Source organism: Homo sapiens, chromosome 7, assembly GCF_000001405.40.
Source record: "Homo sapiens chromosome 7, GRCh38.p14 Primary Assembly".
In the NCBI taxonomy this organism is placed as follows: domain Eukaryota; kingdom Metazoa; phylum Chordata; class Mammalia; order Primates; family Hominidae; genus Homo; species Homo sapiens.
Window position 1 is genome coordinate 96,614,423 of NC_000007.14, and position 12,435 is coordinate 96,626,857.

A 12,435-nucleotide genomic window follows, 5' to 3' on the forward strand; every position below is an offset into this window, starting at 1 on the left:
GTCCTAAATTAGCTCCAGCTTCAAGATGAACTGTGAATACAACGATCCATGCACTCAGGCAGCAAGAAGCTCTTTCCAGACCTGAATGTTCTGATTGACTTTTGCTGCTGCTTCTTGCTACAACTTATATTTTATGCAAGCTATAGCCGAAAACAGTAGTATCAGTTTATTCAGCCTTCGTTTCTTGAACAGAGAAGCACGCCTTAGCTCCTGGTGTAACATAATGAGTCCAGTTCAGGTCTCTCACCATGGTGTGAAAAGCTTTGGGTTCTCTATTGTCTGTCTTCATCTCCTTCTGCACATGCTACCTAGTGCATATGCTTCAACCCAACTGATAGCTCTGGGTTTCTATTCCATTTCTGGTCCACAGAAGTGTTCATATTGCCTTTTGCACAAATATATGTCATGTGCACACATATGTGCACACACACATACACACACACAGACAATTGCTTTGTTTGGAGAGGAGGAGAGTTTATAGTATAAGGTCACAATTCTTATTGTTTTTTCTTATGAGCCTCTATCAATAGTCAACAAACTACAGCCCAAGGACAAAATCTGACTTGTTGGCTGTTTTTGTAAGTAAAGGATTGTAGCAACACAGCCATATCCATTTTTACATATTGCATATGACTACTTCCATGTGACAAAGGCAGAATTGAGTATTAACTAAGACTTTGGACAAATCCCATTGCCTTTCTGAACCTCATAAAAATGAAAAGATTTCAACAGGTGATTTCACAAGGGATTTGATTGCATTTACCAGTTTCCATCATCCTCTTCTGTGGACTGGACTGTTGGGTTATTTTTTGAGTCATCTTTTTTTTTTTTTTTTTTTTTTTTGGAGACAGAGTCTCGCTCTATTCCCCAGGCTGGCTGGAGTGCAGTAGTGCCATCTCGGCTTACTGCAACCTCCACCTCCCAAGTTCAAGCAATTCTTATTCCTCAGCCTCCTGAGTAATCCTGGGATTACAGGCGCCTACCACCATGCCTGGCTAATTTTTGTATTTTTGGTAGAGACAAGGTTTCGCCAGGTTGGCCAGGCTGGTCTCAAACTCCTGATGTCAGGTAATCTGCCCGCCTCAGCCTCCCAAAGTGCTGGGATTACAGGCATGAGCCACCACACCCAGCCCAACTCATATGATTTTTTTAAGAGTCCATCATCAATTTTTTATTTAAATTTTTATGTATTTAGGAGGTGCAAGTGCAGATATCTTAAATGTGTATATTGCGTAGTAGAGAAGCCTTGGCTTTTAATATACCCATAACCCACATAGTAAGCATTGTATCCAATAGGTAATTTTTCAATCCTCAACTCGCTCCCACCTTCCCACCTTTTGTAGTCTCCAGGTGTCTATTACTCCATGCTGTATGCCTTTGTGTACACATTGTTTAGCTCCCACTTGTAAGTGTTAAGTTTCTAAGTTATTTCACTTAGGATAATGGCCTCCAACCCAAAAATGTCTTCATTATTTTCTATGGCTGAGTAATAAATATGAACATTTTCTTCATATAATCCTCCACTGATGGACACTTAGGTTGATTTGATATCTTTACTATCGAAAATAGTACTGTGATAGACATATAAGTGCAGGTATCTTTTTGATATAATTTCTTTCCCATTGAGTATATACCTAGTAGTGAGACTGTTGGATCGAATGGTACTTCTATTTTCAGCTCTTTGAGAAACCTCCATACTATTTTCCATAGAGATTGTACTAACTTACATTGCCACCAAGAGTACATAAGCATTCTCTTTTCTTCACATCCTTGCCAACATTTATTGGTTTTAGACTTTTTAATAACAGCCATTCTAACTGGTGTTTGATGGTATCTCATTGTGGTTTTAATTTGCATCTCTTTGATGATTAGTGATGCTGAACATTTTTTCATGTTTCTTGGCCACTTGTGTGTCCTCTTTTGAAAAATGTCTGTTTATTTCCTCTGCCCACTTTACAATGGTTTTTTTTCAGTGTTTGTTTTTTTGATGAGTTGTTTGAGTTCCTTGAAGATTCTAGATATTAGCCCTTTGTTAGATTCATAGTTTGCAAATACTTTTTCCCTATTCTGTAGGTTACCTGTTTGCAATGTTGATTGTTTCTTTTGCTGTGAAGAAGCTTTTTAGTTTAGTTAAGTCCTGTTTGTCTATTTTTGTTTTTGTTGCATTTGCTTCTGGGTACTTAGTCATAAATTCTTTACCTAGGCAATGTCTAGAATAGTTTTTCCTAGGTTTTCTTTTAGGATTTTTATATTTTTGGGTCTTATATTTAGGTATGTAATCCATCTTGACTTAATTTTTGTATGTGGTCAGAGGTATGGGTCCAGTTTCATTATTCTACATATGGCTATCCAACTTTCCCAGCACCATTTATTGAATAGTATGTCATATCACCACTGCTTATTTTTATTGACTTGTCAAAGATCAGTTTGTTGTAATTATATGTCTTTATTACTGGTTCTCTATTCTGTTCCATTGATCTATATGTCTATTTTTACACCAGTATTATGCTGCTTTGGTTACTATAGCCTTGTAGTAGAATTCGAAGTCAGGTAATGTAATGCCTCCAGCTTAGTTCTTTTTGTTCAGGATTGCTTTGGTTATTCAGGCTCTTTTTTTGGTTTCATACGAATTTCAGGATGTTTTTTCTAATTCTCTGAAAAAATGTCATTGGTAATTTGATAGGGATTGCATAGGATCTGTAGAATGCTTTGGACAGTAAGGTATTTTAATGATGGTGATTATTCCAATCCATGAGCATGGGGTGTTTTTTTCATTTGTTTATGTCATCTACAACTTCTTTCATCAGTGTTTTATAATTCTTCTTATAGAGATCTTTCACCTCCCTGGTTAAATCTATTCCTAGGTATTTCCTCTTTTTTTAGCTGTTATAAGTAGACTCACCTTCTTGATTTGGTTCTTAGCTAGATCATTGTTGTGTAGAAACACTGCTGATTTCTGTACATTAATTTTGGACAGAAACTACTGAATTTATTATCAAATCTAATAATTTTCTAGTAGAGTCTTTAGGGGTTTCTAGATATAATAACACAGAATCTGTAAACAGGGATAATTTGACTTCCTTTTCTCCTATTTGGATGTTTTTATTTCCTTTTCTTGCCTGATTGCTCTGGTGAGGACTTCCAGTACTGTGTTGGATAAGAGTGGTGAAAGTGGGCATCCTTGTCTTGTTCCAGTTCTTAGAGAGAATGCTTTCAACTTTTTACCATTGAGTATGATGTTGGGTATGGGTTTGTCATATATGGCCTTTATTATGTTGAGGTATGTTTCTTCTATGCCTAGTTTGTTGAGTACTTTTATCATAAAGGAATGCCAGATTTTATCAAATACTTTTTCTGCATATATTGAGATTATCATATATTTTTTGTCCTTAGTTCTGTTTATGTGATGTGTCCCATTAATTGATTTGCATATGTTGAACCATCCTTGTATCCCTGGGATAAATCCCACCTGATCATGGTGTAGTATGCTGTTGGATTCGAATTGCTAGTGTTATTTTGAGGATTTTTGTGCCTGTGTTCATCAGGGATATTGGTTTCTTGTTTTCTTTTTTGTTGTATCTTTGTCTGGTTTTGGTATCAGGGTGACATTGGCCTCACAGAATGAGTTACAAAGAGTTCCCCCCTCCTCATTTTTTAAAAATAGTTTCAGAAGGATTGGTATTAGTTCTTTGTATGTTTGATAGAATTCAGCTGTGAATCCATCTGAACTTGGGCTTTTTTGTTGTTGTTGGGAGACTTTTTTATTACTGATTCAATCTCGCTATTTATTGTTGATCTGTTCAGAAGTTTCTATTTCTTCCTGCTTCAATCTCAGGAGGTTGCATGTTTCCAGAATTTATCCATTTCCTTTACAGGTGACTTGATGCTTTTCTCTTAAAATTCGTTTTTTCACTTTGACATTAGATATTCTGAATACAACATGCTGTGGGGAACTACTTTTTATACTTGCCTGGGGATTGCTGAGCCTCCTGTATCTAGCTAACTCTCTGACAGGCTTGGGAAGTTTTCATCAATTATTTTTTGAAATAGAGTTTATAAACTTTTTTATCCCTTTTCCCCTTCAGGAGAACCAATAACTCGTAAGTTCAGTAACTTTATGTAGTCCCAGTGTCTCAAAGACTTTGTTCATTCTTTTTTATTCTTTTTTGCTTATTTTTGTCTGAATGGATTATTTCAGAAGACCAGTCTTCAGCTTCTGACATTCTTTCTTCTGCTTGGTCCAGTCTGTTATTGAAGCTTTTACACTTATTTTGTATTTCCTTCAATTAATCTTTTATTTCTAGAATTTCTGCTCAGTTTTTCTAAGATAACTATCTTAGCTTGGGTGAAACCCTATCTCTACAAAAAAATTTAAAAATTAGCCAGTTGTGGCTGGCATGCACATGTAGTCCTACCCACCCAGGAGGCTGAAGTGGGAGGATCACTTGAGCCCAGGTGTTCAAGGCTGCAGTGAGCCATGATTACACCTCTGCACTTTGGCCTGGGCAACAGAGAAAGACCGTGTCTTAAAAAAACAAACTATCTATCTTCTTGTAAATTTTTCATTCATATACTGAATTGATTTTTGATTTCTCTGTATTGGTTTTCAGATTTCTTTTTCATCTAATTAAGCTTCTTCGAAATCAATATTTTTAATTATTTATCTCGCATTTCAAGGAATTCTTGATTGGAAACTTGCTAGACAATTGTTGTGGTCCTTTGGTGGCATCATATTTCCCTGCTTTTTCATATTTCCTGTGTCTTTCCATTGACATCTGCACATCTAATGTAGCAGTTGTCTGTTCTAATTTTTTGAAATTGTTTTTGTAGGAAAAAATTTTTTCCTGAGTATGTATGTATTTTGTTGATTAAGATACTTTGGTTTTGGCTTTGGGTGCCAGCAGTAGTGTGATTTTTGTATAACTTCTTCAGCGGTACACAGGATCAGTGGTATCTGATTTTCTTAGTGACTTAAGGCATAGCTATTAGCTGAGGTTGTGGTGAAGTTTATCTGGGGACTTGGATGGCACATGAGCCAGTCTTTGGGCTCCAGTGGTGGCAGCAGCGGGGTGAGTGTGCCTGTTTTAGGCCCCAGAGCAGTTGACACTGGCACCATGTTACTGGATTCTAGAGGGCTTCTTCTTAGCCTCCAGGTGGCTTGCTTGGAAGCTAATAGTGGGAGCAGTGGGCCAGTTATGTGGGTGTGTTCTCAGACCTCTGGGCAGTTGGTGTGGTGTGGGTGATGAAAGTAGCAGTAGAAAAGCAACCACCGGGACCCAAGCAGTCTGTGTTGGTATTGCTGGAAGCTGCAACAGGCTGAGAAGCCTAGTCCGTAATCCCACAGCCACCCATAGCAGGGCAGTGGGTATTGTCCTAAGTGTGCTCAGGAGAGATTGCTCTCCCATGTTCTTCCCCTAGATGGGTGGCAGGTGCAGCCACGTCAACTCGAACTTTGCCCAAGGGCAGGGGGAAGCCTAGCATTAAACTCTCAAAATGGTACCTTCGTCTTGCAACCAGTGAGGGCAGTGAGGCCCCTCCCAAGCAGGTAGCATGGGCAAGAAGCTGTGGGGAGTGTGGTCCACTTGTGTCTCAGTCTTATGCCACTCATTCCAGAACAGTGGTATTATTCTAGATATATGTAGGAGAGCCTAGTTTCCCTGATCCTCCTTAGCAGCAGCTGCAGCCATGGCGGCCTGAACTTAGCCTGAGGGCAGGACACAACCCAGCATTAGACTCGAAATGGTGCTTTGGGCCTGCGTCCAGGGTCCAGGGAGGGTGGGGCACCTCCCAGGCAAGCAGTGTAGGCAAGATACCAAGGGGAGTGCAAGTGTAGTCTACTCACATCTCAGTCTCAACAGCAGCCTGCGGCAGGGCAGTAGGGACCCTCCCAGGGGGTGCACGGGAGTACCCAGCCTCTCCCTCTGTCTCCTAGAATCAGTGCAGCAGCAGCAGCCATGTCTGTAGATCCGTAGTAGCTAGACTCTCAGAATGGTGCCCAGCTGAGGCTGCTCTTGGCTTGGAGGCATGTGGGGTACCCTTTCTGGAGCAATGTCTCTGAGCAGTCTTTAGGCATCTCTGTGTGTCAGGCCTGAGGCCCTAGTGGGTTGAGGGATTCTCTTGTAGCCAAGATTGTAAAAACCCATTTCGGAGCCCTGAGGTTTTCCCACACCCGCGAGCCTCTCCTGGCTCTCAGCCCCCTGCCAGCAAGCTGTCGCAAACTCTCTCCTTACTTACTTCTGGTGCTTCCCATGTCTTCTCTGGTGAATTCTCTCCTCGATGATCTGTTTGGAGTATCTGCTTACTATTCTGGTTCCTCTCCATGGAGGGCGCATGTACTCCTTGCCTCTAATCAGCCTCTTTGATCCCTCTCCCCTCCCATTGTCTGTTGTGCTCACTCTATGTTATGTTTTTTTTAGTTTATATTTTTGCATACCTGTTTAGAGACCAATTTATTTACCTGTTTATATTTGTATGTTTTTATTTACCTGTTGAGTGATTTTGGTAGTTTGGGGCTTTGTGTGTTTTGGGGCAGTTGGATTTGGTGGTGTCACTCCACATGTCATCATCTTCCAGGACGCCCTCTGAGGTCTGCCCCAGATTTGACCCATCTTACATGAACACACTATGTATGACCAGTATAAAATTTGTATTCATTATGTTCCCACCAATGAGAATCTACTGTACATAATTATGTATTGTTAAAATTAAGAAAATATGGAATAGAAGTAGATTGATTGTCCTGGAAGAGTTGTCCAGGAAAGCTTGAAATTTTGCTTTCTTTTTCTTTAATGATAATAAGCACAAGAAGCAAATAAGTAATAAATAAGTATAATTAAGCAATATCAAACACTCTTTAAAAATTGGTCTTTGCAGCATCCACATAATTGATGAGTTGAATTGTGAAGCTTTGGTAGGCTTCACAATTCCAAAAAGTTTCCATTTTGTTCTGGATAATTCAATACCTTTGTTCAATCTTTCCTCAATATAAAATGTTATCTTAAAAGATATAAAAAAGGATTGTAGAGTAGCCTGGGGTTTGGGGAATGTAGAAGCAAAATGAAAGAGCAGCTGAGCTTTTCCCATTGGTGAGGACAGAAGTGTGTTCAGGCTGCTTGTGTTTCTCCAACTTCAGGGATTTTGTAATATCACCCTCTTTTCTATTCAGTGCTTCTCCAGTTCTCCCTCCATCCAAGACACTGCTGCAGAAGTTAATAAATGAGTGGGCAACAAAAAATGAAGTGCAAGTATTTATCAGACATTACCGAATACATACATTATTGAAATAAAAAGCATGAGAAATTATATTAGCAAATGAATTTGCAGTTTAGGGACCTCTAATTAAGAGTACAATACATTTGGATTCTCTCTCTTTTAAAACTTATTCTCCATGTATTCCTAAATATGACCCATCTTCTCTGACAGCTAAATGTATTGCTGATGTCTTATTAAAGGGAACTCTGTAGCTTCTTCTTCCCTATAGCTCAGGTAGACAGCCTGAGGTTTGAAGTTCTGCATAGAGCCAGCATAGCTGTTAGTGGCAAAATGACCCCCAGAGTAAACAAAGAAACATGACCAGTTACCCTCAGAGGGGATTACTTGTCTCACTTGTAAACCAAGTATCAGGAGAAGTAAGCCAGTAAGTGTGAAGTCAACCTCACCAGGGAGTATGGCATGGAATCTTTTCCATAACTTAGGCTAGACATTCTGCTATGTTATGCCTGTTGATGTTTCCTTATCTTTATGAGAAAAGGAAACATGCCAGCCTTCTAGTAAAGGCCTTTGGATTAAATTCTCTGAAGGAAACTGGCCTCACCTAATAAACTCACCAGAACATAAAAGGACATGGAAAAAAAAAATAAAACTAATGTGCTAATCAGTTCAATAAATGCTTGAAGCTGGCCTTAAATCAAATAAAAGACAGGAAAAGATGCCTTATTTCAGAGCTTTGAGACACAGAATGATGAGAAAAATTTCTCTTGTATTTGAATCACTGAGGGGAAAACAGTAGTCGATTCAGGAGAAGTCAAGAAATATCAGTGCAGTTTCTAAATAGTAGTAGTATTTTCCTTTCTATCTTCTGCCAAAGTTGCTGGAAGCTCTCATATGGCAAGGGGCTTGGTACCTTTGCCTTCTTTCTTATTAGCTGCATGATCAATGTGAAGCCTGACTCCTGAGTATTGGCAATTCTCCCCGCTATTCCTCCAGTTCACTGTATCCAGCCCTGGAAAAATTAGAAAGTAGGTGAAGGTTTTCTTTTTCAAACACCTATTAGCCTCAAATTCTGTTTGACCATCTGATCAGTGGAAAAGCCATGTAGATCATAAAATCACTTAATACCACTGTGCTAGTCATGTAATGCATGCAACTGTCTAGAAATGTGGCATTTTCAAAGGAAGCAGGGAAAACTTACATAAATACAGACATTTCAAAAGGTGAAATTCTAGCCACAGTGAGCTCTGCATGGAATACAAATGCTTTGGGGTCAGTGCCAGTCTTGACATCTGTGATGGTTAATTTTATTTCAATTCACCTGAGTCACAGGGTGCCAGGCATTTGGCTAAACATCATTTCCAGGTATGTCTATGAGGGTGTTTCTGGATAGAATTAGCATTTGAATTGCTGGATTCAGTAAAGAAGACTGCCCTCCCCAATATGAGTAGGCATCATCAATCCACTGAGGGCCTGAATAAAACAAAAAGCAAAGGAAGGGAAAAATTTTCTCTTGTCCACCTGCTTGAGCTGGATCATCAGTCTTCTCCTGCCTTTGGACTAGGATTTATACCATCAACTTCTCTGGTTTTCAAGCCTTCAGATTCAGGCTGGAACTTTAACATTGACTCTCCTACTTCTCAGGCTTTCTGATTCAGGCTAAACCACACCACCAGCTTTCATGGGTTTCCAACTGTAGACAGCAGATTGTAGAACATCACCTTCATAATTGCATAACTGCATGAGCCAATTCTTTATAATAATGAATAGAATCTTCTTCTTTTTCTTCTTCTTCTCTCTCTATATATTTAAATTATATTAATTTATATAATATTAAATATATAATTTATATATTTAAATAGATAAATTTGTATAAATATATCTAAATATATTCATATATACTTGTTTATATAAATGTATTATTTTATATAAAATATGTACTTGTTTATTATATATAAATATATACTTGTTTATATAAATATATATGGAATTCATGTTAATTTTGTTAGATATGATCATTTTATTGTCTATATATGGAAGAATATCCTGATTTTGTTGGTGATGCATACTCAATCATTGAAAGGTTGTACTTGTTCCCAGGTCTGCCATAACAAATCACTACAAACTTGGTGGCTTAAAATAACAGAAATTTATTATCTCAAAGTTCCAGAAACCAGAATTTTGACTGAAGTGATGTTGGCAGGACTGTGCTCCCTCTGATGGCTCTAGGGGAGAATCTATCTTTGCTTTTTCCAGCTTGTGTTAGCTCCTGGCATTCCTTGGCTTGCCGCTGCCAAGGAACTTGCATGTCAAATCTCCCTCTGGCTTTCTCTTACAAGGATGCTTATCCTTGGATTTAGGGCCCACTGGGATAAGGGCCCACCAGGATGATCTCCTCATCTAAAGATTCTTAAGTTAATTACATTTGCAAAGACCCCTTTTCCAAATAAGGTAACATTCCATCTTTTAACATATAAGGTAATATTGATAGGTTCTGAAGATTAGGGCATGGCTATATGTTTTTGGAACCACCATTCTATCTACTAAAGGGATGACATATAAGAAGATCTAAAATTTACTTTTACGTGACTCAATAAAAATAAATATGGATGAAATAAATAAGACAAAAAGTTAATGGTTGATAAATCTAGGTGGTAGATATATGGGAGTACATTGTATTAGTCTAAAATTTTGTGCTTAGGATTTTCATACCAAGCCAAGTTTAAGTTCCTCATTTTGTCAAGAGAGTCTCATTTAGGGAGCTCTTTTAGTGTAGTGGGTCAAGTGGGTCGGAGCATGGGCTCTGGGGACAGAATGCCTGAGTTTGCATCCCACCAGGCTTGACTTTGAATAGCTGTGGGATCTCAGGTCAGTTACTTATTTTTTTCCTCTACAAAATGGGGATAATAATAATAATACTAAATTCAGACAATTGTTATGAGAATGAAATGAAATAATGCTCATTAAGTGCTTGGCACATTGAAAGGACCTGATAAATATTAGCCACATTAATAATTATGCTGAGTCTTTCAGGATGTCCCCTTCCAACATTCCACTATTAGCTAGGAAAGACTCTCTTAGAAAGGGGGCACAGGGGATTCCCAGTTTGTGCATGTGTTTGGGAGTAGGGAGCAGGAAGGGATATAAGGTGTAAGGTATTTACATAGGTCACATGAGCACAGGACAAACCTGGGGCTGCAATGGGGTGATAGGGAGATTCTAAAAGCAAGGGGAAATCCTTGTAGACTTTTAGCCAATCTTCTACTAGCTATTGCTCAGCCCATTTCTTAGCCATAATGCTGATAGAATTAATGCAAATTCTAAAAATACCTATCATATCTAGAAAGCTGTTTCAATGCTAAGTGACTGACTCTACCTAAGTGAAAACGTTATTTATCAGGACTCTATGTTGCTTGAAAAACAACTCCCCCTGCTCATAAGGAGGTTGCTGCTTTTGGAGTGTTAAAGGAGGCTCAGGTGTGATTTTGCCATTAGGGAATCCCATTGTTCCAACAGGGAGCTGAGCCAGCCTGCTCAGGTGAGTACTGTGGCTACTGCCTCCTTCTCCTCCCACACCTCAGGGTGCCAGCGCATCTACAAGCAATTCACACTTTATATTTAGGGTGTCATTTCATTTTTACATTAAGTGCATGAAGGCTTTCACTTGCCTCACATCTCACTTAGCATCATATTTCCCCTCAACCTGTTATAGTCACCAAACATGTGCAAGACCAGGAACAAAATAAATGAAAGAACTACAACAAAAACTTAAAGATAAAGTTAACAAGAGCAAAAGGGATGAAATGACATCCCTGCAGGGACATGTGGCTTCCTCAAAAGTCCAGATGCTCTTTTGAAACAAATCTTTGGAATTACTCCCTAGTGTTGTCACTGCTCCCCACTGCATGAATTAAAATCATAAGCAAAATAATAAGTCTCAAAGTTTAGGATCTAAGCTACAAGGCTGAAACCCCTTGTGGAAGCAGTGCTACTAAAACTTTAATGTAACAAAGTCATCTGCATATATGATAAATCTGAGATCAGTTGTTCTAACAAGCTTCCAGGTTATAACAATGCTGCTGAACCACAGACCATACTTTGATTTGCAGGAGTGTAGAACAGCAGTTCTTAAATTTGGCTACACTTTGGGTTTACACGTGGTGTGTAAAATAAAACTGATGCCACAGAGGTTCTTATTTGCCTTTAAGTGTGACCTGGTCATCATAATTTTTTTAACTTTTAATTTTAATTTTTATGGGTACATAATATGTGTATATGTTTATGGAGTACATGAGATGTTTTGATATAGGCATAAAATGTGTAATAATCACATGATGTAAAATGGGGTATCCATCCCCTCAAGCATTTATCCTTTGTGTTGCAAACAATCCAATTATACTCTTTCAGTTATTTTAAAATGTATGATTAAATTATTTTTGCCTATAGTCACCCTGTTATGTTATCAAATAATAGGTCTTATTCATTCTTTCTTTTTGTTGTTTTTGTACACATTAACCATCCCACCTCCCCTTCCAAACCCCCATTGACCTTCTCAGCCTCTGGTAACCATCCTTCTACTCTATACGTCCATAAGTGCAATTGCTTTGATTTTTAGATCCCACAAATAAATGAGAATATGAAAAGTTTGTTTTTTTGTGCTTGTTTTATTTCACTTAACATAATGACCTCCAGTTCCATCTATGTTGTTGCAAATGACAGAATCTCATTCTTTTTATGGCTGAATAGTAGTATTACATCGTATGTAAGTACTACATTTTCTTTATTGATTCATCTGTTAATGAACACTTAGGTTGCTTTTGCCATATATGGCTTTTATTATGTTAAGGTATGTTCCTTCTGTATCCAGTTTTTTGAATATTTTTTATAATGAAGGGATGTTGAAATGATCATATGGGTTTTTTAATCCTTTATTCTGTTGATATGATGTATCACATTGATTGGTTTGCATATGTTGAACCATCCTTGAATACTAAGGATAAATTCTACTCAGTCATGATGAATGATCTTTCCAATGTTTTGTTGAATTCAATTTGCTAGTATTTTGTTGAGGGTTTTTGCATCAATATTCATCAGAGATATTGGCCTGTAGTTAGTTTTCTTTTATTGATGTATCTGTCTGATTTTGGTATCAGAGTAATACTGACCTCAGAATGAGTTTGGAAGTATTCCCTTCTCTTCTATTTTTCATAATAGTTTGAGTAGAAT

The 12,435-nt window shown here is 38.1% G+C and overlaps 1 protein-coding gene across 9 annotated transcripts in view; it reads right to left on the reverse strand.

Annotated features, from left to right (window-relative positions):
* SEM1 (SEM1 26S proteasome subunit) overlaps nt 1-12,435 on the reverse strand; it is a 228,221-nt gene that overhangs the window by 132,797 nt on the left and 82,989 nt on the right. For 5 of the 9 annotated variants that reach the window (NR_038948.2, NM_001393904.1, NM_001393902.1 and 2 more), the window contains one exon: nt 7,235-8,221. The exons of the other annotated variants lie outside the window; for them this stretch is intronic. Coding sequence is in view for 2 of the 5 variants with exons in the window: in NM_001393904.1 (NP_001380833.1) it covers nt 8,194-8,221 (28 nt within the window). In the remaining 3 variants the exon portion in view is untranslated. Of the gene's footprint in view, nt 1-7,234; nt 8,222-12,435 lie in introns of those variants that run through there. 9 annotated transcript variants of the gene reach the window in all.